At 42.7% G+C, this 26,786-nt stretch overlaps 1 protein-coding gene across 2 annotated transcripts; it reads left to right on the top strand.

Annotated features, from left to right (window-relative positions):
• ZMYND12 (zinc finger MYND-type containing 12) lies at nt 45-25,738 on the top strand. 2 transcript variants are annotated; one of them, NM_032257.5, is made up of 8 exons: nt 45-179; nt 6,008-6,149; nt 7,429-7,600; nt 16,042-16,211; nt 19,524-19,646; nt 20,682-20,793; nt 22,779-22,924; nt 25,209-25,738. In NM_032257.5, exons 1-8 carry the CDS (start codon nt 70-72, stop codon nt 25,329-25,331), a joined length of 1,098 nt encoding a protein of 365 aa, NP_115633.3. In that variant the 5' UTR covers nt 45-69; the 3' UTR covers nt 25,332-25,738. The 2 variants fall into 2 exon arrangements, with proteins under 2 accessions (NP_115633.3, NP_001139664.1); NM_001146192.2 differs by lacking the exon at nt 7,429-7,600.
• The last annotated feature ends 1,048 nt before the right edge of the window (nt 25,739-26,786 follow it).

Genomic DNA, 26,786 nt, shown 5'->3' with positions numbered 1-26,786 from the left:
ACGTGACGCCGGGGTTCAGCGTATCCTTGCTGGGCAACCGTCTTAGAGACCAGCACTGCTGGCTGCACCATGAATGTGATCTACCCACTGGCAGTCCCCAAGGGGCGCAGACTCTGCTGTGAGGTGTGCGAAGCCCCAGCCGAGCGGGTGTGCGCGGCCTGCACAGTCACTTATTACTGGTAGGCCCTGAAACGTGGCACCTGGGCGCTATAACTCCCTCCCTCTCTCCCTTTCCCGGGTCTGGCTTGGGTACCTTGCGTTAGCCGTTGCCCCTGACTCTGCAAGGGACACCTCAAAACGGCTTTAAGACAGGCCCCTAAGACTCCCGTGGCCTCGTCTGTCTCATCTCCCACTTATTCGTCACTCATGTTTTCTGAAGGCGTACTCTGTGTTATGCACTATTTTAGGTGCTAAAGTTACTGGGGCAGCTCGGTAGATCAGTTCCTTCAAAGATCTAACATTCCAATGTGGGAGACAAATCAGTAAAGAAACAGGCCGGGCGCGGTGGCTCACGCCTGTAATCCCAGCACTTCGGGAGGCCGAGGCGGGCGGATCGCCTGAGGTCAGGAGTTCGAGACCAGCCTGGCCAACATGGTGAAACCCTGTCTCTACTAAAAAATACAAAAATTAGGCGGGAGTGGTGCTGGGCGCCTGTAATCCCAGCTACTCGGGAGGCTGAAGCAGAAGAATCGCTTGAACCCGGGAGGCGGAGCTCGCAGTGAGCGGAGATCGCGCCACTGCACTCCAGCTTGGGCAACGAGAGTGAGACGATAGTGAATGGGGCAGTATGTGGAAAGCTTTCCCTGTGGAAGAAACATTTGAGCTGCATTTTGAGAGGGCAGTCAGAACCTGCTGTGTACAGGAGTAGTGAAGAAGGGTAGGGCATTCCCGGCATCCGGGACTGCTAGGGCAAATGGCAAAAGAACAGAGTTTGCTAAGGGCCGAGTGGAGAACGTAGTAGTGGAGGGAGCAGTCAGTGATTTTCAAACTGCAGGCCAGGGCCCTTTAGCAGTTTATGAATAAGTCACAATCACCATTTAGAGAAAACAACAACAACAAAAAAGAGCACAGAATGAGTAGAAAGTATCAGGTTAATCCTACCTGAATTGTTTCTTAAAACTTTTGTCTTAGTGTTTTATGTGGACATGTGTGTGTGTACAGGAAAAATGTATTTCTTACTATAGGTTGAGTCAAAATTAGCCGGATGTGGTGGCGTGCACCTGTAATCCTAGCTACTCGGGAGGCTGAAGCAGGAGAATCGTTTGAACCCGGGAGGCGGAGGTTGCAGTGAGCCGAGATCGCTCCATTGCACTCCAGCTTGGGCAACAAGAGTGAAACTGTGTCTCAAAAAAAAAAAAAAAAGTTGGAACATCATTGTGATAGGTAGTAGAAGTTTAAACCAAGAAGATAAAGGTTAGGGCTAGACAGTGACATGAGATCAAGGGTTTGGAATTTATCTCCTGGGAAACCATGAATGGTTTTGAGCTGACATGCTCTCATTTGTGTTAAGGAAAGAGGATGGGCTGCAGTGTGGCAGATACAGAGGAAGGTAGACACTGACGGCTGCATAACAGATCAAGAAGCTGTTGCAGTACCTTCTCATACTGGCCTAGGTGTCCTTCCTCAGTGCTCTCAAAGCACTGAGTATGTCCCCTATCCTAACACTTAGGACATGGACTGAAATCATTTATTTATTTCTTTCATTAGGCTGTATGCCCCACAAGGGCAGGGATGGTATCTGTGTTTTCATTGCTATCTCCTCTTTGGTGGCTTCCTTGCCTTTAGAATATAATTAAGAATTTGTAACAGAAAATACAAGGCCCTGGTTATTTCTCTACCTTCACTTCCCACCACACTCACCCCATTTTTTCTTTGCTGTAGTTATAGAGAACTGAAGTTCTAATTTGCTAAGCCCTTTCTTCCCTCAGTTTCTTTTCCCAGTCTGTTCTCTCTGCTAGGAACCTCCCCTTCAACTACAAGCCTTCCTGGCTCCCTTTCATCCTTCAGTTCTCAGTTTAAATGTCATTTCTTCAAAGAGGTCTAAACCCAGTCTCAACTCCCCGTCATACTTTTCTCTCTCACAGTACCATTTTTCTTTGCTTTTTCTGTACTTTTATATTATTGTGTTTGCTTGTCTGATGTCTATGTCTTTTACTAGACCCAGTGGCCACACATACCAGACACTCAATGAACATCTGTTGAATAAAACTAAATGGATAATAAACCCATTAACTTGGGCAAGGAACACGGGGAAAAGATGACGGGCATCAGATTTGGTTGTAGGCATAGAGTTTAAGAGGCCTTTGGGTCACCCCCAGAGAGATGGCCAGTAAACCGCCGTGGGTAAAACCTGCCACTCAGGCTTGGGAAAGATTCAATCCTTTTGCTTGGTGTGAGCACTGACTTTTTCCTTAAAACACCCCTGTCCTCTGTATCCCTCCAGCCGGAAGTAATTCCTTCTTCCTCTGAACTAACTTTACAGTACTCTGTATCTCTCAGATGACTCATATTTCTCTTCATTTTAATTGTTGGTGAGTGTGTTATTTCAATTCTGTTATGCTCCATTAATGCTAGATACTATGTCAAATGTGTACAGAGGGACTGTCAAGTATGCTAACTTTTGATCTATGTCCGACCTGTCATTGTATGCCCCATAGTCTCTAGCAAAGTGTCTTGAAATAGTTGGCACTTGTGCTTTTATCCCTTGGGCCAAAAAATAAAAATGTGAAAAAAAAGACATAGTTGGCACTAATATCTGATAAATGCATGTATAAATTATCATCTTCTATGCCCTTATCTTCGATTTTTTTTCTTTTACTTGCTTTTAATTCTCTTTAAGACCTTCTCCTTTTGTTTTTTTGCTTCCTTTTCTCCAGATTTCTATGTCTTTGGGTCTTGCAGATTTCAAGATTTTTTGATAAAACAAAACTGAGGTTGTTGTTCTATAGGTTTTGATGGTCGAATGTAAAGCATCTAGTACCCTTCCTGGAACCATGTTGGCACACAGTAAATGTTCCTTTTCATCATCCCAAGTTTAAGGAACAAGAAAGTCAGTCTGAATTTGTGAAAGTTTTTTTCTGCAAAAGAATTTTTTTCCTGATTATAATTGCAATTCATGCTCACTGCAGAAAACCTGAAAATATAAAAAATCAAGAAGAAAAATAAGCCATAGTCCCACAACCCAGGGATTAATAACCTGAAATTTTGGTGAATTTCCTTCTTTTCTCTGAATACATTTATTTTATATATTGTGTGTAATCTTGTGCATATTGCTCTATAGTGGATTATGACCATTCTCAGAGAATAGCACATTTTTATTTACTTTAGAGACACAGTAGAACTTTTATTTTTTTATTATTTTTTTGAGACGGAGTCTTGCTCTGTCACCCAGGCTGGAGCGCAGTGGCACCATCTTGGCTCACTGCAACCTCTGTCTCCCGGGTTCAAGCAATTCTCTTGCCTCAGCCTCCCAAGTAGCTGGGATTACAGGGATGCGCCACCACGCCTGGCTAATTTTTTTGTATTTTTAGTAGAGACGGTGTTTCACCATATTGGTCAGGCTGGTCTCGAATTCCTGACCTTGTGATCCGCCCTCCTCGGCCTCCCAAAGTGCTGGGATTACAGGACAGTAGAACATTTTTAAGAAAAGGTAATTTTATGGAAGTACATACTAAAACATTGGTGACAAGTAAAAGAGACTTCAGTACCATAGGTTTGCATGAATTTAAATGTCTTTAGTCAGGGCGTACATTCTGTAATTCACTACAAATACTATTGCTTCCTGTTCTTGAATACCACTTCACCATTCGTTTTCTTCTCCTGGCCAGTGACGGCATTTAAATTTGCGCTTCATATGTCAAACAAAAGGAAAAATTATTGCAAAAAATATTGCAGATCACTAAGAAAACAAACAGTGAAGTGGTATTCAATAATAGGAAGCTATAGGATCAGTGGTGAATTGTAGAATGAATGCCCTACCTAAAGATATTCAAATTCAGCTTAAAAAAAAACATGATAATAGCCAAACAAAACATGTGGCTCACAAGCTACTTAATTGTGAGCCCTGATTGAAAGCATTTATCCATTCCTACTTTATCCCTGACCCTGTGTTAGGTGTTACAGGTGGGACAGATCAATAAGCAGGGAGCCCGCAAATATATAAATAAAGCTCACTTTATTTAGAAAGGCAAGATATGTTAGTGGCTCTCAGTGGAACAAAAGTTCAGGCATCTAAGTTAACATTTCCATTGCTTACAAGCCCCACTTGATAAATTCCCTGTGGAACTCAGCTATATCCTGGCTAAGTGCTTTTATTGATCTGTTTATAATAATTCTCTACCTCCCCAAAAACATTTTAAATGGTTTCTGTCATTTCTTTGGTAGCAGTCACAACTTGTAAAGAATATACTTTAATTGCATTTCTATTGTCCAAGAAGGTGGCAATATTGTCCAAGAAGGTGCTTGAACATGGCTATATATTGTCTGTGGCTGCTTTTGTGCTACAACAGCAGAGTTGAGTAGTTGCAACAGAGATCCTATAGCTCTCAAGCCTAAAATATTTATCTGACCCTTTACAGAAAAGCTTTTCTGATCCCTCCTCTAGATTATTGTTACCTGTTTTGAAATATGTATAAATGGAATCAAACAGTTAACTTACATTTAAGTGAAAATGTGTAATAAGCAATAGAAATGCAAAAACCCATGACTATGCATCTAACAACAGAGCCTCAAAATACATGCAGCAAAAACAGACAGAACTGGGGAGAAAAATAGACAATTTAATAATAATGGTTGAAGACTTCAATATCCTACCTTCAGTGATGAACAGAACAACTAGATGAAAGATCCAGTATCCCACTCTCAGTAATGAATAGAACAACTAGATAGAAGATCAAATATCCCACTTTCAGTAATGCATAGAACAATTAGACAGATCAGCAAGGAAATATAAGACTTGAATCACGCTATAAACCAACTAGACCTAACAGGTATCTGTAGAACACCATTCAATAACATGAGAATGCCTATTCTTCTCTAGTGCGTATAGAACATTATTCAGGATAGAACATATATTAGACCATAAAATAAATCTCAATAAATTTATAGAGATTGATTTCATACAGAGTATGTTCTCCACCTACATGGAATGAAATTAGTAGTCAATAACAAGGAAATTTGGTAAATTTACAAATATGTAGAAATAACACACTCTTAACCAATGAGTCACAGAAGAAATTACAAAGGAAATTAGAAAATGCTTTGAGATAAATGAAAACAAAAACAACATACTAAAACTTAGATGCTGGCAAAGCAGTACTCAGAGGTTACTGTATGAATTTAGTACTCATATGAATTTATACTAATATACATTACATTGAAAAGAAGATCTCAAATCAGTAACCTAGCATTTCATCTTAAGAAACTAGAAAAAGAAGAGCAAACTAAAACATATTTATAAACTCCTTTATGCACAGCCCTGTGTTGGGTATAGACACAAGCTAGCAGAAGAAAGGAAAATTAAAGATTATAGCAGAGATAAAACAGAGAATAAAGAAACTACAGAGAGAACTGATGAGACCAAAAGTTGGCTCCTTGAAAAGACCAACAAAATTGACAAACCTTTAGCTAGGTTGACTGGCCTAGAAAAGAAGATTCAGATTACTAAAATCAGAAATGAAAGTGAGGACATTACTACCAACCTTGCAGAAATAAAAGAGATTATAAGAGAACACTATGAGCAATTGCATGCCAGCATCCCTGTGTGACTTCAGAATGTGAATGTGTGCCTGCAGAAACAACATACTCTCCAATCCCAACACAGTTTATACATCATCAAATAACCACATGAAAGGAAAGAGATTTGAGTCTCAGAAATGGCTTTGAGCTCCCTGCCTGGTTTGTATTTGGCTTACTTTTCTGGTGTCTAGGGATAGGCCAGTAGGAGGGTTAATGGAATCTTAAGTCATGCCAAATATAAAGATCATAAAGTCTATGTTTCCGTTGTCAGTGGGGTGGTACATCAGAAGGCTGACTGGGACAGCATCCATGAGAAAATATGTCAGCTCTTGATTCCACTGCGCACTTCCATGCCCTTCTACAATTCAGAGGAAGAACGGCAGCATGGCCTGCAGCAGCTGCAGCAGCGGCAGGTAGGGCCTACGGCACTTTCCAAGGTTAAGTCGTAGGTGCGGTGAAGCTGCCCAAGACAAGGCTCGAACTGTGTTGGGATCACTAAATTGTAACCTCACGGAGGGCAGAGACTTTGTTTTATATCTTTTTAAGTCCTCAACACCATCCAGTCTGTTGTTTTCCACATTTACTAAATACTTACTGTATTAGTCTGCTAGCACTGTCACAATCAAATATCACAAACTGGGTGGCTCAAACAGCATACATTTATTTCCTCACAGCTCTGGAGGCTGGGAAGTCCAAGATCAAGGGGTCAGCAGGTTTGGTTTCTTCTGAGGCCTCTCTTCCTGGCTTTCAGATGGCTGCCTTCCTACAGTGTCTTCACATGGTCCTTTGTGTGCAAGCATGCCTGGTATCTCTTTGTGTGTCCAATTTCCTCTTTTTATAAAGACACAAGTCAGATTAGGTTAGGGCCCACCCTAATGGCCTCATTCTAACTTAATCACCACTCTACAGGCCCTAGCTCCAATTATAGTCATGTGACAGACTGCAGGATAGGGCTTCAACACATGAATTTTGGCAGGGGACACAGTTCAGCCCATAACATCCACAGATGCCAAGAGTCTGGCCACATAATAGGAGGGTTAAGAATGATGTATGGATATACTACTGAATAAATAAAGGAGGTTACCAAAACCTGCCACTATTATTATGTATAGTGTTGAGTATTATTGAGTATTGAGCATCTCAATCACTCTAAAAAATTAGCCCCTTATTATAAGCCATAAATCTCTAAACATAAGATCCATCCATTTTAGTGTTATGACACTTTGATAGTGGCCTTAGAACAATGCAGAGTTAAAGTTTTTTGTGATATTAGCTAAACAGGATAATTCTGGAAGGGAAAATGAGATGTTTCTCTCAAAATTAACTCAACTAGGAAGGCAGAAAGTTTCAGATTGTCCTGAGACATGCTAGCTTTGCTAAAGTAAAGTTTTATTAGAACTGTAAAAACAATACTCATTTATTCATCTGATAACTCTATATTGAGCATTCATCTATGCCAAGCGCTGAACTAAGATGAAAATACACATGTTCCTGGGCCTTAAGGAACTCATAGTCCAGAGTTTGCTTTCTTATATCACTTATGTGGGGCTTCACGTCCACTCTAATACAGGCAGGCTCACTATGTGCCTTTAACTGGGTCATTAGGTGTTGGCCTTATCCCCAGGGCCATCTACATCCACCTTTGCCTTTAACTTTAGACTGTCTCAGATAGTCTGTTTCTCTCTTCCACAGAAGTATTTGATTGAATTCTGCTACACCATAGCCCAGAAATACCTCTTTGAAGGGAAACACGAAGATGCTGTACCAGCAGCTTTGCAGTCCCTTCGCTTCCGTGTGAAGCTGTATGGCCTGAGCTCCGTAGAGCTTGTGCCTGCTTACCTGCTGTTGGCCGAGGCCAGCCTTGGTGAGTGAAACCGACTTGAGATCCTTGGATCCCTTAAGTGGTGTTATGTTTGGGTCACACCAATGATCAAAGAGTCACCCTTGACAGTGGCACCAAGAGACCTATTGTAGAAGGAGCAGGGTTGCTGTAAAGTTTAGCACAAGGTAGGGAAGGAGATGTCACAGACTTTTGTCTACAACTGGCAGAAATCCACTCAAGCTGGCCTGCACAAAAAGGAGGAACTTTGTGCGGGTGCTGTAGTATCCTACAGGAGCTGAGGCTTCATGAGGGACTAGAATTGGAGTGCCTTTCGTTCTCTCTTGGGCCTTGTCTCCTGTATCTACTTCTCTCTGGGTATCTATCTGCTTTGCTATTTTCCCTCTCTGCAGACCAGATTTGTCTACCCTATGCTCACTGTAGAAGACAGCTACCCCAAAATGTCAGATGGAGTTTTTCAGTTTACGTGTTTTCTAGGTTTGAAGTAGGCAGTAGAAACTAATTAGCTTCTGATTTCCAAATACAAATTCGTAGAAGACAGAATTTTGTTGACATGGCTTGAGTGTGGAATCCACCTTTATTCCCTGGGATCAGAGCCACATAGTTCAGAAATACAGGAACCCACCCCTATAGATGGGAGAGGCAATTCTGAGAGTATAGAGCAGACTTAGCAGATACCCTACATGGTGGCCACCATTTAAAAAAATGCTTCATATGTTTTAATAGCCACCATTAAAAAAATACTTTTTTAAAAGTAAAACTTTTTTAAAAGTAAAACTGTTAAAATTAAGTACAATATAAAGAACTTTTATCCCCTGAGTTCTCTGAGAGTAAGTTGTTCACCTGATTCCCTATCCTTAGAATACTTCAGTGTCCCCTTAGTAAATGAGATATATTGTATTGTGGTTATGAAGGAGAATGTCTTTGTGGGAACCACACAAGGGGACCCTGTCATCTAAGAAGACCCCATTCAAGTTTCTCGAATTTTCCCAATAACATCTTTATAGCAAAAGGATACAGTTCAGGGTCACACTTTTCATTTTGTTGCCATGTGTTGGCAACAAAACTCTGGAATAGTTTCTCAACCTTTTCTTGACTTTTATGATCTTGACACTTTTACAGGTTACAGGCCAATTGTATAAAACATTTCTCAATTTGAGTTTGTCTGATATTTCCTAATGATGGGACTCACGTTATGGATTTTTGGCAAAAACAGTACAGAGGTGATGCTGTGTTCTCATCCCATCCTATAAACTGGCATGTTTTCATTTTTTTCATTACTGATGATGTTCATTTTAATTACTTTATTAGGATGGCGTCTGCCAGTCTTCCTCCCTGTAATGTTACTCTTTCACCCTTCTGTAATTAATAACTTTAATTTTCATTTCATGGATACGTCCTTTGAAACTATATAAATATCCCATTCCTCATCGAATTTTCAATGTATTCATTTAGTTATTTGTATCAGTATTTTATCTTTATTCAATGGGCTTAAATCCATTACTATCGTTAATTTGATCCTCAAACTGTCCCTGATTTGACCAGTGACAAACCCCACTCAAGCTGGCTTCTGCATCTCCCAGATACAACCCCATTTGTTCTTTGCTCACTTGACTGCTTTCTGGAACATACCTCTAAAGAGCCCTGATCTCTTTCAGTGGAAAGTGAAAATCAGAAGCCAAAAGCTGTGCACTAGATGTACTCATGCTTTTGGGGTATTACTGCTCCCAGGCCTTCTCAGTGGAGTTAGGGAGTAAGTGTAAATATAATAATGGGTGTACGTATACACACATTACATCTGTATTTATTTCTATATCTATATATCTTTTTTTTTTTTTTGAGACCGAGTCTCACTCTGTCACCCAGGCTAGAGTGCAGTGGCGCAATCTGAGCTCACTGCAGCCTCCACCTCCCTGGTTCAAGCAATTCTCCTGCCTCAGCCTCCCGAGTAGCTGGGACAACAGGTGTGTGCCACCACGCCTGGCTCATTTTTGTATTTGTAGTAGAGACGGGGTTTCACCATGTTTGTGATCTTGAACTCCTGTCCTCAAGTGATCCACCTGCTTCAGCTTCCCAAAGTGCTGGGATTACAGGTATGAGCCACCGTGTCTGGCCTGTATCTATATATCTACATCAATATCTCTATGACCACTAGTCTATACTGTTTGATCCAGATCTAATACAGCACCATAGGGTTCAATCTGATTTACTTCCATTCCTTAATTGCAACTCCCTTTGCTGACAGCTTTCACTTTCATTGGTTTATTTACATATTAATGAGTTCCCCTGTATGAATCAATCCCCGCTCTCTAACTCCGTCCTTTCCACCTTATAGATACCTCTTCCCGCTCCATGGGCCCTGACTCCCCATTCCAGGCTGCCTCTGCTGCATGGATCCCTCCTCACTTGTGTGGGTTCCAACTCCCCATAACAGGCTGTTTGCCTGCAGGAATGCCCTGCTCACCCTGCCCAGGTCTGACACCCCATTCCAGACTGTCTTTCCTCCAAAGTAATGAGAAAAGCACTGGACAAGAAAATACAGCCCAGGTTCTGTTTACCTCTGACACTGGCTAGCTATGGGATTCTGGAAAAGTCACCCTAGCCCAAGTCTCATCATCTCTCATCTAGACCACTGCCTACTAACTGGTCTCCCCACATCATCTCTGGCCTCCCTCCAATGTGGTTTGCATACAAAAATGTGACCCATCACTCCTCTAAATAAAGATCAAATTTCTAAAGCAACCCATGAGGCTCTGCTTGATCTAGCCGTTAACAAATTCTCTCACCTCAATTCTATCACCTTGTCTCTCTTGAATTATTTTCTCCCTCCCTTCCAGTTACACCGACCGGCCTTCTCTCAGTTCCTCAGAAGCATGATGATTTCCTTGTTTGGAAAGGCTTTTCTGTAGCCACTCTCTCTGCTTCTCCTCCTCTTCCCTTCACCAAATTAACTCCTTATCATCTTTCAGGTTTCAGCTCAAGGGTTACTACTGCCTTGTCTAGAAGCTTTCCCAGGGCTCCAGACCAGGTTGGGTCTCCCCTTTTTTTTTTTTTTTTTTAGACGGAGTCCCGATCTGTTGTACAGGCTGGAGTGCAATGGCCTGATCTTGGCTCACTGCAACCTCTGCCTCCCAGGGACAAGTGATTCTCCCACCTCAGCCTCCCGAGTAGCTAGGACTACAGGCACGCACCACCACGCCCAGCTATTTTTTGTAGTTTTAGTAGAGATAGGGTTTCAGTATGTTGCCCAGGCTGGTCTTGAACTCCTGGCTTCAAATGATCCACCCACCTCAGTCTTCCAAAGTGCTGGGATTACAGGTGTGAGCCACCGCACCCAGCTGGGTCTCATTTTTAATATACTTGTTTAAAGAACTACCCTTTCTGGCCGGGCACGGTGGCTCACACCTGTAATCCCAGCACTTTGGCAGGCTGAGGTGGGCGGATCACGAGGTCAGGAGATCGAGACCATCCTGGCGAACACGGTGAAACCCTGTCTCTACTAAAAATACAAAAAAATTAGCCGGGCGTGGTGGCGGGTGCCTGTAGTCCCAACTACTCTGGAGGCTGGAGCAGGAGAATGGCATGAACCCGGGGGGCGGAGCTTACAGTGAGAGGAGATCGCACCACTACTGCACTCCAGCCTGGGTGACAGAGCGAGACTCCGTCTCAAAAAAAAAAAAAAAAAAAAGAACTACTCCTTTCTTCTGAGCACTTAGTCCATTAATAATTGTATTCATTGATGAGATTATTTAATTGTCTCCCTGCTCCAGTAGACTGTAAGCTCAGGGGAGAACTGGATCTGTGTCTATTCTTAATTATCACGGATGTCTTCACACTCAGCCCAGTACTTAGCACAGAGAAGGTACTAAAAAGATAATTTCACAGTACCTGAAACCTCGTGAGCACTGTGTAAGTATGTGTTGAATCTGAGTTGTCTTCACAGGATTCTTTTAAGGGTGAAATGAGTTCGAGTGTAATGACCATGAAAGTGCTTTGAAGTCTGGAAAGTACTGTCTAAATGGAAGATTTCACTGTAACTTCACAGTCATTGGTTTAAAACCTTGCTAACGTTTCTGGAAGTCTAAAGAAATCACTTTCCTGTGCACATGTTTCTTTCCCATCTTAGAGATTACTTCAGACTGGAGTGATTTGGAAGCAGGAGAGCCTGAGTTCAAATATCATCTCTTTCTTTACTGTCTGGGTGATCGTAGGCACCAAGCTCTTCCTCACTCAGAGCTCTCACATATATGGTTCCTTCTGCCTGGGATGCTCTTTTCTCTCTCATACGTGGCTGGCTTTTGATCATCCTTCAGGTGTCTGCTTAAACTGGCCAGGCATGGTGACTCCCACCTGTAATTTCAGCACTTCGGGAAGTCGAAATGGGAGGATCTCTTGAGCCCAGGAATTCAAGATCAGCCTGGGCAACCTAGCAAGACCTCATCTCTTAAAACAAAAAAATTAGGCGGTCATGGTGGCATGCACTTATAGTAGTCCCAGCTACTTGGGAGACTGAGGTGGGAGGATTGCTTGAGCCCAGCAGGTGGAGGCTGCAGTGAGCTAGGATTTTGGTTACTGTGTTCTGTTCATTTCCTTCACAGCACTCATGTTTTGTCTATTTATTGTATGCCTACTTCACTTGATTTTAAGCTTCTTGGAGTCAGGGATCATGTCTTAGTGTGCATTGAGCATCATGCATTGTGATAGAGACTCAATCAATTAGGTGAATATATGTTTGGTTGAATGAATGAATGAAGTTGCCTCCTCTTCAAATTCCTCATCTGATGATTATTTCACAGGGTTGTTAGCAGACTTAGACCACCGATGCAAAGGGACTAGCACAATGTTGGGCAAATAACAGGTCTTCAATAAATACAGATTCCCTTTTCTTCCCCTGGGCACCTCACAGCCACAACCTTTGACTCAGCTGTGACTGCTGTATGCTGCATTCCTTCACTTTCATCACCAAGTCCTGCAAAATCTTCTCCCATAATATCTCCCAGATCTGCCGTTAACCCAGTGTAAGCCTGTTGCCTCACCCTTCAGACAAGTACCACTGGTCTGTAAGTGGCTGTCCTTTCCCAATTCCATACACTAGTAAAATCACCCTAAGGGATAGTATCACTTCCTTTATGTCTCCACCACCTCCACTTCACCCTATGCCTCTCCAGGTAGGCACTGTCCATAAGAGGCAGGCCTGAACTTACGCACTCACTGGTCACAAGCTTAGTTCTGACTGTAATCTCATGGGCTAGTAGTAGCCCATTCTTCTCACCGTACTCTCTCTCTCTAGCCTCACAGTTTATTCTCCCAAGTATGCCTTTTCCTTTAGGACTGATGCTTGTTTAGATGCTGGTTCAGCTGGGCCTTGGAGTCTTCATTCTTTGGCATTGCCTCCTTGAGTGAGAACTGGATGTTGAAAATTTTAAATTTCCAATATTTGTCAATGCCCTGTCCCATTTTTTTCCCATCTAAACAATCTTAGTTAAGAGTCATTTGCTTCTTCAAATGTGAGAGGACTTCAGCCTAAACCTCATATTTTATAGACAAAGCCTGGAGGGAAGATGTGACTTGCCATGTTCACATGAGCCAGGATCAGGGACTAGGCCTCGTGCTCCTAATCTAGTAGTTTCCCATTTTAGTTTGCACTTTGACCTTCCATCAGGCAAAGTTACTTCCTTCTTCTTGTAGACTGCTTCCTCTTCATCTCTTTTCCTTTAATTCAGTGATGTAGGGTTACAACTAGAATAAAAGCATGCTTACATATGAACTAGGTCTGACAGGAAGGACACAGAGGAGCAGAGGGTTGGCTTATGAGGGGTTCGTGTCCTTACCTCTTAACCCTTTGTTGATGCCATTTCTGCTGCAGCACCTATCACACCAATGCTTCGCCCCCAGAGCACGCCTCCTACCCTGCAGCACACTGACGTAGTGGCTTTCTATTCTGTTCTGACAAATTTCCCCAGGAGTCAAGCAGGTAGGCAGGCCTCTGTATATATAAAGATGATATGTAATACACAAAAAGCTTTAAGTGTCAAGAGTATCTAAATATTAGCAATAAATGTGGCTTTCCTTTCTCTTACCTTCCACATTACTTAGTAACCGTGTGTTGTCCATTTTACTTCCTGTCTCTTTTTGATCTCCTCCTCTTTAGTTCACTGTCTTGTTTCAGGCTCTTAAGCGTGCTTGTCCGAACTATTTCAGACATCTTCCAGTGAATCTTCTACCTTTATTCCTCCCCTCTGGTCCCTCCTCCACATTGGTTCCAGAGGATCTTTCTAAATTTAAATCTGATTCTCTCGCCCTTTTTGAAAATCCTCTAGTTTTTATCCACATGCATCAAGTTCCTTGGTATAACTCACTAAGCCCTCCATGACCTGCCCCCTGCCTACCACCATAGCCTCATTTTCTGCCATTCTGTCTTTCACAATTTGTGCTCCAGCATCACAGGCCGATACAGTCCCTACACCCTCCATATTTGTAGGTTCTGCATCTGCCCATTCAAGCAACCATGGGTCAAAAATATTTTTAAAAATAATACAATGATTAAAAATGATACAAATAAAAACAATACGGCCGGGTGCGGTGGCTCACGCCTGTAATCCCAGCACTTTGGGAGGCCGAGGCGGGCGGATCACAAGGTCAGGAGATCGAGACCATCCCGGCTAAAACGGTGAAACCCCGTCTCTACTAAAAATACAAAAAATTAGCCGGGCGTAGTGGCGGGCGCCTGTAGTCCCAGCTACTTGGGAGGCTGAGGCAGGAGAATGGCGTGAACCTGGGAGGCGGAGCTTGCAGTGAGCCGAGATCCCGCCACTGCACTCCAGCCTGGGCGACAGAGCAAGACTCCGTCTCAAAAAAACAAAACAAAACAAAACAATACATGATGTTACTTGTGGGCTTATAAACAAAAAAAGAAAAAATGTAAACAAAAAAGACAAAAATGATATAGTAGAACAACTATTTACATAGCATTTACTTTGTATTAGGTATTATAAGTAATTTAGAGATGATTTAAAGCATAGGGAATGATGTGCATAGGTTATATGCAAATACTACACTACTTTATATTAGAGCCTTGAGCATCCTTATATTTAGGTATCTGATGGGGGTTCTGGAACCAGTTCCCTGCAGCTGTGACTCTATATAGTTCTATGAACATAACATATTATTTCATATTTCTATGACATTGCACATGCTGTTACTTCTGCCTGGGATGCTCTCCCTGCCTTATCTACCTGGAAAACTTCTATTCATCCTCAAAACCCAGCTCAGACTCTGCTTCAGTGTCCCTCTCCATCTCATCTATAGAATTAAACATTTCCTATCCTCTGACACTTCCAAAGCTTGTGTTGCTATTGCAATTATACTATATTGTAAATATATTTGTTTTCATGTTGCACTTTGATTCCCCATCACCCAACACAAGGCCTGGCACAGAAAGGGTATTAAATATGCATATATATATTTCACAATTGAGATATAATTCACATATCATAAAATTTACCCTTTTAAAGAACAATTAAGGCCAGACACAGTGTCTCACGCCTGTATTCCCAGCACTTTGGGAGGTCGAGGTGGGTGGATCACCTGATGTCAGGGGTTTGAGACCAGCCTGGCAAACATGGTGAAACCCTGTCTCTACTAAAAATACAAAATTAGTGGGGCGTGGTGGTGCATGCTTGCAGTCCCAGCTACTTGGAAGGCTGAGGCATGAGAATCACTTGAACCTGAAGGCAGAGGTTGTAGTGAGCCGAGATCGCGCCACTACACTCCAGTCTGGGCAACAAAGTGAGACTCCCTCAAAAAAACAACAACAACAACAAAAAAAGGACAATCCAGTGGTTGGTTTTAGCACATTCTGAAGGTTGTGCAACAATCACCATGATCTATTTCCACAACATTTTCATCACCCCTAAAAGAAAGCCTGTAATTGTCAGCAGTTACTCCCTCTTAGTGCCTCCCTTGCATTGGACCCCCTGTTAGTGCCTCCCTTGCATTGGACTCCCCCTGTCGCCTGGCCACCACTAGTCTACTTTCCGTCTCTATGGATTTGCCTATTCTGGACATTTCATATAAATGGAATCATACAATATGTGGCCTTTGGTGTCTGGTTTCTTTCACTTAGTATAGTGTTTTCAAAGTTCATCCACATTATAGCAGGTAGCACTACTTCATTCCTTCTTATGACTGAGTAATATTCCACTCATGGAGATGGAGATGGAGATGGAGATGGAGATGCCTCCTTTTGTTCATCCACTCATCAGCTGATGGACATTTACATTGTTTCTGTTTTTTTTTTTTTTACTCTTCCAAATAGGCTGCTGTGAACATTCCTGTATGAGTTTTTCTGTGTCAATAAATACTTGAGTCAATGAATACATGAGTGAATGGGTAATGACTCATATTTCCTCATGTGTTCTTTGGCCTGGATATGAATTATAACCTTCTTTTCTGCTTTTGGGCAGGTCTGGGCCGAATCGTTCAGGCTGAAGAATATCTATTCCAAGCCCAGTGGACAGTCCTCAAATCAACTGACTGTAGTAATGCCACCCACTCTTTACTGCATCGGAATCTGGGACTTCTCTATATAGCTAAGAAAAACTATGAAGAGGCCCGTTATCATCTGGCCAATGATGTAAACAAGCTAAGTTATAACACCTGTATATTTCCAAAATCTAAATTATAACACCTGTATATTTCCAAAATCTGTTTAATTTTTTTAAAACTGTGCATTTCTCTAAAACTTTCTGTTTACAACTGATTATTTGGTGGGATGTTAGCCATAACACAATTCTACCGACCCGAGTTCAAGCATTTCTACTTCATAGCTATTCAACCTTGGCCAGGTCACATATTCCTGAAGTTTCAGTTGCCCTGAAGAGTAAAGGGAGGCAAAACAGCATACTCGTTAAGAGAAGGGCTTTGCTGGCCGGGCATGGTGGCTCATGCCTGTAATCCCAGCACTTTGGGAGGCCAAGGTGGGTGGATCACGAGGTCAGGAGATTGAGACCGTCCTGGCCAACATGGTGAAACCCCGTCCCTACTAAAATACAAAAAATTAGCCAGGCGTGGTGGTGCATGCCTGTAGTCCGAGATACTCGGAAGGCTGAGGCAGGGGAATCACCTGAACCCGGGAGGTGGAGGTTGCAGTGAGCCGAGATCGCGCCACTGCACTCCAGCCTGGCGACAGAGCAAGACTTCGTCTCAAAAAAAAAAAAAGAGAGAGAGAGAAGGGCTTTGCTTCTAGTCACAGATCTGTTTCACTAGCCACATCGTCTTGGAAAATTTGTTTAACCTCTTTCATCACCTGCAAGACAGGAATAATAAAATAGTCTCTGTCTCACTGGGTCATTGCGAAGATTAATAATAGGACAATAAATGTATAGTACCTTGGCTATTATTTTAAAAAATAACAGTAATATCTCTACTTCAGAGTGTTGGTTATTAAATTTAAAAGAGCTAGATGTATAAGAAAGCACTTATCGATGATAAAACTCTGTACAAAGTTAGATGGGATGTTGAGGATGATAACTGAATTGTTCTTTCAAAATTTAAGGGGTTTCTATTAGGATTTCAGTACTGGAAAATATTACCAGAGAAAAGAGTTCCTGGGCGTGAAATCTGAGTTAGCGTAGAGTCAGACTGCAGTCTCCATGCAGGTTGGTTCTCTCTTCAGCCTCTCTTCTGGCCTCTGCACCAAGCAGCCCTTCCTCTGGTTGCCCGCCTGTACAATGCCCGTAAATTAAATTTTACGCTGGTTATTCTTTAAATTCCACTAACCCATATCCATTCTCTGCCCTACTCTATGCCCTGGGAGCCTGACCTCTATGGACTACACAACCTCTATGGACTCCATTGCTCTCTGGCCTTGGTTGGGTTTGGAGAGTGGAAGGCATAGTAGGGGAGTGGAGAGTAGGAGGAGAAAAAGGCTGGGGTACTGATTCTCTCTGCTGCCTCTCTGCCCCACCCCTGATCTGTCAGGAACAGTGTTCCTCTGTGGCCACAGCTCCTGTCAGGCAGCCTTCTTCCATAGTGCTAGCTCTTGCTGGGCCCTGGTAACCTTGTTTCCTCCCCTTGCTGTTTCAGGTGTAGGGATGGTAATAGTTTCTTGCTGTTGGTAGTCCCTGGTGTTTCACTAGGCTTTGTTGGTTTTACTCGTAGGGCTTTTCCCTAGCCCTTGTTGGTTTCTTAACCCTTCTACATGTCAAGTAATAATTCCACTAAACTATCTTCAGGCAATCTTATTGAGGGTGCCATCTAGTTCCACCTGGGCTCCTGACTAATACAATTCTTTGTGTTTCCTCTCTATACTCTACATCCTCCAACAAATTAAGCAGAGGCACATTCTGTCCTGAGCTGGGCCACACAGTTAAGAATTAGTAGGCCAGGTGTGGTGGCTCACGCCTGTAATCCCAGCACTTTGGGAGGCTGAGGCAGGCAGATCATGAGGTCAGGAGTTCGAGACCAGCCTGACCAATATGGTGAAACCCCGTCTCTATGAAAAATACAAAAATTAGCTGGGCGCAGTGGCTCACGCCTGTAATCCCAGCACTCTGGGAGGCCGAGATGGGCGGATCACCAGAGGTCAGGAGTTCTAGATCAGCCTGACTAACATGGTGAAACCCCGTCTAAATATACAAAATTAGCTGGGTGTGGTGGCATGTGCCTGTAATTCCAGCTACTTGGGAGGCTGAGGCAGGAGAATTGCTTGAACCTGGGAGGCAGAGGTTGCAGTGAGCCAGGATTGCGCCACTGCACTCCAGCCTGGGCGACAGAGTGAGACTCAGTCTCCAAAAAAAAAAATATGAAAATTAGCCAGGTGTGGTGGTGTGTGCCTGTCATGCCAGCCGCTCGGAAGGCTGAGGCAAAAGAATCACTTGAACCCGGGAGGCGAGGTTGCAGTGAGCCAAGATCGCACCACTGCACTCCAGCCTGGGCGACAGAGGGAGACTCTGTCTTTAAAAAAAAAAAAAATTAGCACAAGCTCAGATTCCTTAGCCTAGCTTTTTAAACACACACACACACACACACACACACACACACACACACAGAGCTTTATTGATATATACCATAAAATTCACCCATTTTACGTGTACAATTAAATTATTTTTAGCAAATTTACAGAGTAGCGCAACCATTAGCACAATCAAGTTTCAGAACATTTCCATTACCCCAAAGAGATCCCTTGTATCCATGCGCAGTCATTTCCCATTCCTGTTCCAGCCCCAGCAACCACTTCCTGTTTCTACAAATTTGCCTTCTCAGGACAGTTCATACAGACAGCATCATGTGTGGTCCTTTGCATCTGACCTCTTTCACCTAGGGTGATTATTTTGAGATTCATCCATGTTGTTGCATGTATCAACAGTTCATTCCTCTTATTGCTGATTAGCATTCCATTGCCTGGATATACTACAATTTGTCTATCCATTTATCAGTTGATGGACATTTTGGTTGTTTCTATGTTTTGTGTATTTTAAATAATGCTGATATAAACATTTACGTACAAGTCTTTGTGGGTAGGTACTTAGAAGAGGAATTTCTGGGTCATGTAGTAACTCTATGTTTAACTTTTTAAGGAACTACCAAACTGTTTCCACAGAGGCTGCACCCTTTTACATTCCCATTGGCAATGTGTGAGGGTTTCATTTTCTCCATATCCTTCCCAACACTTTTTATTTTCTGTATTTGATTCTAGCCATCCTAGATGCAGTGATATTTCATTATAGCTTTGTTTTGCATTTACCTAATTACTATGTTAGTATCTATACATGTGCTTATTATTCATCTGAATATCTTTTTGGAGAAATGTCAATTCAGATCTTTTGCCCATTTTTAAATTGGAATGTTGTAACAGTTTTTTGTATGTATTCTAGATACAAGTCCTTTATCAGATATATGATTTGCAAAAGGAACTCAAGCACTCTCCTTCTTCCTTCTGCTATAGATTTATTTTGCCAGTTGTGCATTTGGAACAGAGGACATTAGGACTTCAGGAGGCTACTTCCACCTGGCTAATATATTCTATGACCTTAAAAAGTTGGACCTGGCAGACACATTGTACACCAAGGTGAGCTGGGGAATGTGGGAGCTGAGCCTTCACTCTTAGGCTTGGTGTCTTACAACTTGTATTAGACTATTCATGAAAAACATACCATTCATGAGAAAGAGAGGCACAGAGAGATGAAGTGGCTTGCCCAAGACTATATAGCCTGATACATGATATACTCCATTTTCTTTCTTCCAGTGTCTCCACTACCAAAATAGACTAACCCTTAACATCCGTAGGGTGATTAACGAATAATGAAGGACAGGTCAGTAAGAGCCAAACCCCTTCAGATAGACTGTTGTATGCTGTGTCATACCCATAGCAGCAAGCTAATGTGGGCTTATTGAAGTGTGCGATAGAGAAGGAGATTTCCAAGGGAAGTCTGTTGCTACAAGATCCTGTCAAGGGATCCAAGAACATGAGAAATTTCCATATTTACATGTAAAATATTTTAAACTGTTTCCAATATATTAAAATGTCAGCTGTATCCATATAGTAACACCTCACTTAGCAGGCAATCATTTGTGTAATAAATGTGTAATACAGGCTTTCTGCTGATTGTTGATTCATGTTTTAGACCTGCTTCTGAGAAAGAGGCATTTTGCTGTAGTTTAAAAGCTTTAGAATCAGATAGACCAGGGTTTAAATTCTGGCTATGCCACTTAACAGCTCTTACCAGAAGTCGTGTGTGATCTTCTCTGAGCCTCGGTTTATTTACATGTAAAATGGGAATAATAAGAATATTACATCAGGATGTTGTGAGGATGTGAAGGTTTCGTGTTGTGTGTGCTATACAAAAGATAACCACTGTTATTAGACCCCACTAGGGCTACCCCAAGATGAGCTGCCACAGGCCCTTTTCAGCCCATCACTTGTCACACTTACCTTGGCCAGGCCTGTTTGGGCTCCTAGGGTTCCCTCTGCCTCCAGGCACAGTAAGAGAGAGAACCTCCAGGTTGTCCAGAAGCCCGGCCAAATGCGCTACTCTCCTCACCTGCCTGGTCCGACGGCTGAGGTCTGGCCTGCTTGTTGTATTACCATCTCTTTTCCCAACAGGTCTCTGAGATCTGGCATGCATATTTGAACAATCACTATCAAGTCCTCTCACAGGCTCACATCCAACAAATGGATTTACTGGGCAAACTATTTGAGAATGACACTGGCTTGGGTAAGTGGCAGTTTTCCCTGAAGGGAGAGCAGTGACTTCATCTCACCCAATACACAGACCTTGTCCCTAAGAGGGAAAGCAGCTGTCCCTGTCATGAAGCACACCATTGCCACCTTCCCCATGTTGCTGATGGAGAAAACTGAGACACGGGGATCAAAGAGATTTTACCAGTGTTGGGAAGAATTCAGATCCCTATCATCACACATAGCCATTCGGGGGTTACTAAGGGACAGATTTAGAGGGAAAAAAAGACCACATCAAAGCCCCCTGTGATTTCTGCAGAGCATCCATTTCTATGTTATCCCTCCAGGGCAGCAGTCCCAATCTCTCCCTGGCACCAGGGACCCGTTTCATGGAAGACAATTTTTCCATGGACTGGGGGGCGTGGGAGGAATGGTTTCAGGAGAATTCAAGTGCATTACATTTATTGTGTACTATGTTTTTATTATTATTAATATATTGTAATATATAATGAAATAATTATACCATGCATCATAATGTAGAATCAGTGGGAGCCCTGAGCTTGTTTTCCTGCAACTAGATGGTCCCATCTGGGAGTGATGGGTGACAGTGACAGATCATCAGGCATTAGATTCTCATAAGGAGTGTACATCCTAGATCCTTTGCATGCACAGTTCACAATAGGGTTCACGCTCCTAAGAGAATCTGATGCTGCTGCTGAACTGACAGGAGGTGGAGCTCAGGTGGTAATGCAAGCAATGGGGAGTGGCTGTAAATACAGATGAAGCTTTACTCGCCCCTACCACCCCTGCTCACCACCTGCTGTGCAGCCCGATTCCTAACAGGCCACAAAACAGTTCTGGTCCATGGCCTGGGGGTTGGGGACTCTTGCTCCAGGACACGTAAGCCAAGGTAGACTCTACACAGAAGGTGCATTGCTGATTTCTTCTGGTGCCTTAACTTCATGCTTTACTGAACAGTGAGCTTCTCAGTGGCAGGGCCCAGTTGGATTAAACTGTATTCCCCGGGCCAGCAAAGGGCTAAGTGTTGAATAGTACCGTACAGCATCATGCCCTCAGAGACAATGAAAAGACACAGAGGATCTAGTTTCTGCTCAAAAGAGACATACAGTGCAGTTGGTGATATAGAACCTATAGGCAATAACAAAAGAACATTCCTGTGAGTACAAATTATGTTACAAGATGAGTCCCAGAATGAAGAGGTGAGGACAGCTGGGTGGTGTTGAAGAAGGAAGACTCTTTGGAGGAGAGGTTTTGAGCTAAAGTTTAAAAAATTAATAACTTTATTGAATTTTCTCTCATTATGTAAATAGTTCATGTTATAGCTGAAAACTTGGAAATCATAGATATCCAAAGATAGCCAACCTTAACATGATGGTGTATATCCTTTTCGTCTTTTTCTCTAAGCTTAGTACTTGTATAAGTGCTTTTAAATGCATGTAGTGACTTCTCAGTAAATGATGACTAAAGTAGGACCAAAAACTACTGGGGAAAATAGTAAACAGACTCTCAGAGGGAAGCATGAAGGTTGTTGCTTACGCATCTATGGCCTAGACGAGAAGAGTTAAGCTGCTGCAGCTGCAAGAAGTCCCTTCCCCCAGTTCTCTCCTCTCAGCTGTAGAGTGGAATCTGAGTTGGACCCAAGGAATCTGCCTGTGGCAGATTATCTGTGTTTGTAAGCCCAAGAGATCTAGAGTTCAGGACTCCGAAAGAGAGAAACCTTAGCAACTTTGGGACCTGTGGGAGTGAGCCTATTTTTAGGCTACTCTGATAATGGCATGCTAAGCAAAGCTGGAAAGCGGTCTGAAACTCCTGCTTCGGAGCTTCCTGCTTTGCACCTGGAGGGAGTCCTCTAGGTAAAAAACTTGCTGTAATTGGTGCTATTTCCACCAGTGCCCTTGGGAAGGCTTCAGCAGACCAGGCGCTTTAACAGCTGAGTGCTTTTGATGAGGGCAGACTCAGTTGCCAAGAGCCTGTTTTTTCTTTCTTCCCCTTCCAATGCAGATGAAGCCCAAGAAGCAGAAGCCATTCGCATCCTGACTTCAATCTTGAACATTCGAGAATCTACATCTGACAAAGCCCCCCAAAAAACCATCTTTGTTCTGAAGATCCTGGTCATGTTTTACTACCTGATGATGAATTCTTCAAAGGCAAGTTTCCCTAAAAAAGCAACACGTCTAAAATGAAGGTAGAAATTCAACTAGTTGAACTCAAAATTTGTGTTTTGCCCAATTCCAATAGCTTTTGCCCTCAGAGCAAGCCCTCACTCCAAAGAGGTTCAGATGCTCACGATGTTTCTCCTGTGTTGAGTCTAGCCTGCATAATGGAAATTGGATTGTCTTCTTCCCCCGAGGGTTCCCAGTCTTGCATAGATAAAGAGAGTCTGAGGCAGTGCTGGGAAGCCTGCAGGGCAGGAAGGCTCTGGGGAGCCTTGGATGGATGAAGTAGCCGCTCTAACTCCACTCAGTTACTGAGTTCCCTGTTGCTGCGGGGATTCAGGCAGAAATGCATTGCCATGAAATGATTCAAAAAGTAACTTTTTGAGTACTTTTACCTACCAGTTATTGGCCTAAACCCTTTACATAATTATCATACTTAATGCTTACACCAACATTAATGAGGTAGCTATTTTATTATCTCTACTTTACAAACAAGGAAACTGAGGCACCGAGAGGGTCAATTCTTTGCCCAATGTCTTACAGACAGCAAGTAGCATATCTCAGGTTTATTGACTTATTGGTTGATTCTCTCATTCATTCAAACATTTATTGAAAATCTACCATTTGTAAAGCACTAATCTAGGGACTGGGGATACAGTGGTGATCCATACGTTTCCTATCTCTATGGCACTGGTGTTTTTTGGAGGAGTGGAAATAAACATATGTATGTGTAATATAATTTCAGATAGTAGAAACTGTTATAAAGAAAACTAGCCAGGCACAGTGTCTCATGACTGTATTCCCAGTACTTTGGGAGGCTGAGGAGGGATGATTGCTTATGTCCCGGAGTTCAAGACCAGCCTGGGCAACATAATGAGACCCACTCTCTACTAAAAATAAAAATAAAAAGATCAGCCGGGCTAGAGGTGTGCACATGTAGTCCCAGCCACTCGGGAGGCTGAGATAAGAGGATTACTTGAGCCCAGGAGATTGAGGCTGCAGTGAGCCGTGCTTGTGCCTCTGCACTCTAGCCTGGGTGACAGAGCAAGATCCTGTCTCAAAAAAAAAAAAAAGAAAAAGAAAAAGAAAAGAAGAAGAAGAAGAAGAAAAAGCAGTTGGCAGGGGGAGAGAGAGGAGGCTGGTTGGAGGGAGCCCTTTTTGTGTGGGTGACATGGGAAAATTTAAGACTCCTTTCCTCCCTCCTCCCTCTTTTCTTTTCTTTCTTCAGCTAACTTTTACTAAGCACCTGCAGTATACCAGGCCTGGAGGAGCTCACAGGTTATAATAGAGTGTGACAGCGAAGCCCAGAGCACTGTGGGAGCACAGTGCACAGGGCACTAACCCTACCTGGGATAGGGGTAGGAATGGGTGAGGAATAGGAAAATATTTCCACTGAACTTTCAAATTTACATTGGACAAAACCTCATTTCTACGGTGCAATGTCCAATTTTCCACTGTGTACTCAAGGAAGTCATTACCCCAGGGTGTGTTAGATCTACAAGAGACCTTAGACAAAAGGCACACATCTATCTATCCATCAAGACTGGCACCTCACTTCCTTCAGGCCTTCACTTGACTCAGCTGTTTTCTTTTCAGTGAAGCGTTCCCTGCTCTCCCTGTCTAAAACTGCAAACCCCCACTACTACCTCTAATGCTTCCTATCCCCTTTCATGCTTTATTTTTTTCCTTAGCATTTATCATTTAAGATACTGTCGTGTTTTACTTATTTGTCTTCTTTATTGTCTTTCTCCCCTACTACACTGTAAGTTCCATGAGAATAGGAATTTCTGCCTATACTCACAGGACCTGGAACATGGTAACCATTCAATAACAATTTATAGGAAGGAAGGAAGGAAGAGAAGAAGGGAGGAAGAAAGGGGAGCCTCTTTCCAAGTCAAAACTCTGGGCCACATGGTCTCCAGGACCACCCCAGAGTGGTAATTTACTTGTGGCACCTGTCACCTCTATGCCCTCCAGTGATGGCCTCTAGGGCCTGATTAAGGTCCTACAAAGATCTCACTTTGTTAAGAAGGTATACTTAGTTTGTACTTAGTTTGTCAAGTCAGGTGGGGTTTTTTTCTGGTGCCCTGCCCAGCGCACATGTGGCTAGCTGTAAGGGCCCAGTGTGTTTACAGGTTTATCAACAAGAGCTCAGTGGGTGGTGTGAAAAGGTGGTCAGTTCTCTCTCATGTTTCTGGAGTTGAGCACAGATGGGGCTTCCCAGTGTTATGCTTTCCTGTGACAACTTCCTTTTGTCACTGCAATTCTATTTCAGGCACAGGAATATGGCATGAGGGCCCTCAGTCTAGCCAAAGAACAACAGCTTGATGTCCATGAGCAAAGCACCATTCAAGAGTTATTAAGTCTCATTTCAACTGAAGACCATCCCATTACTTAGTGACCCATGAGCTCTGCATCAAGGGTTATTCCAGGGGCTACTGAAGATCTAATATATTCCAGCCTTGCACAACTGCTTTGAGGTACTGTAGACTGCTGAAGTTTCCACCCTCTTCCCCTGGGATTGCACACATAGCTGTTATTTTTTTCTTACACAGCATATTAAGGGAATATAAAGCTTTAGGCATAGAAATCACTAAAAACTGTGTTTGTCATGACCTTTGTACTTGATTTATCATGACTTTGTATGACTGAGTAATATGTAGTCAGATCACTAATATGGTATTTGTAATTAAACTACAAATAGTTTGTCATTTCCCAGAAGTCTTCCAACGATGCATGTTTCATACACTTTTGCTAAAGGAGGGGTAAAGGAGGGGGTAGGGAATAAAGCTATATTGGAACAAAGTTTCTCTATTCTTAATTCCATGCTGGAATTAACTTAGCGTTAATCTGAGGTAGATTGTGATAAAGTACCCATTATAATAGAGCAATCACTAAGAAAATAACTCTAAAAATAGTTAAAAATCAACAAAGGGATTACAATGGTATGCTAGAAAATACCCACTTAAAGAAAAGGTGAGATAGAGGAACAAAAAGGACATGAGACACATAGAAAACAAATAGCAAAATGCAGGCATAAATTAGATATAAGGTCTTCCTGTGCCAGAGGAGGCCCCTGGGCCTGTCAAGGAGCTTCAGTATGGATTGACTGAGATGCCATTCCAGGGTGGCATCTTTCTTATCTCAGACAATAATTTGAAGTAGATGTGGGCCATCTATACAGTCTAGGGGAGAGGCATTCTGAAAGATCCCCTGTGATGGAGAGGACAGAGGGTGAGCCTTGGACTCAGACATGCCTGAGCTCAAATTCCAGCTCTCTCACATCATTGGTTTGTGACCTTGATCTCCCTATAGCCTCATCCATTACTGTTGTAAAATGGCCCAGATGTGGCCACAGCTATATCAGCTCATCCCATCTTGATGACTCTGGTAATTTAGCATATCCTTTTTTTTCTCCCTTAGTTCCTCTCCAGACTTGCCAAGCAGCATTTTGCTTCGTGAGTAGATCTGCACCCAGGGAGAAGATATGCAGGTCAAGAACCTGTCAGAGAGTTTTATGTTCCTCACTGTAAATTAATTCACTCAGACACATATAATAAAAATAAGTCAGATGGGTCACCCTGCCCCTTCAGGTAAAATCAGCTGGAAACCGCCCCCCACCCCCCGCTCTCACCGCCCCCACTTCCATACTTGTGGGCATTCTTATGCTTCTCCATGATGGCTATGAAGTCCCAGGGGCTTACTTGTCTTTCAGCCATCTCTTGATCTAATTTTCAGCCTCAGATGAATTCTCAGTCTCCAGTCAACACTGTGTAGCACTTTCTTCTTCTCTTTAAAGACAGAGCCCCTTCTTCTTAGCTCTTAACTCGTAACCCCAAATATGAGTCAGCTC

Source organism: Homo sapiens, chromosome 1, assembly GCF_000001405.40.
Source record: "Homo sapiens chromosome 1, GRCh38.p14 Primary Assembly".
NCBI lineage: Eukaryota > Metazoa > Chordata > Mammalia > Primates > Hominidae > Homo > Homo sapiens.
This window is presented reverse-complemented; position numbering and strand designations above follow the sequence as displayed.

Bases quoted from the DNA above. Each gene is read 5' to 3' on its own strand.
- ZMYND12 (NM_032257.5), top strand. From the start codon at position 70: ATGAATGTGATCTACCCACTGGCAGTCCCCAAGGGGCGCAGACTCTGC. The intron at 7,601-16,041 runs GTGAGTGAAACC...GCTTTTGGGCAG, and splicing joins GTTGGCCGAGGCCAGCCTTG to GTCTGGGCCGAATCGTTCAG. The intron at 16,212-19,523 runs GTAAACAAGCTA...CTTCTGCTATAG, and splicing joins GTTATCATCTGGCCAATGAT to ATTTATTTTGCCAGTTGTGC.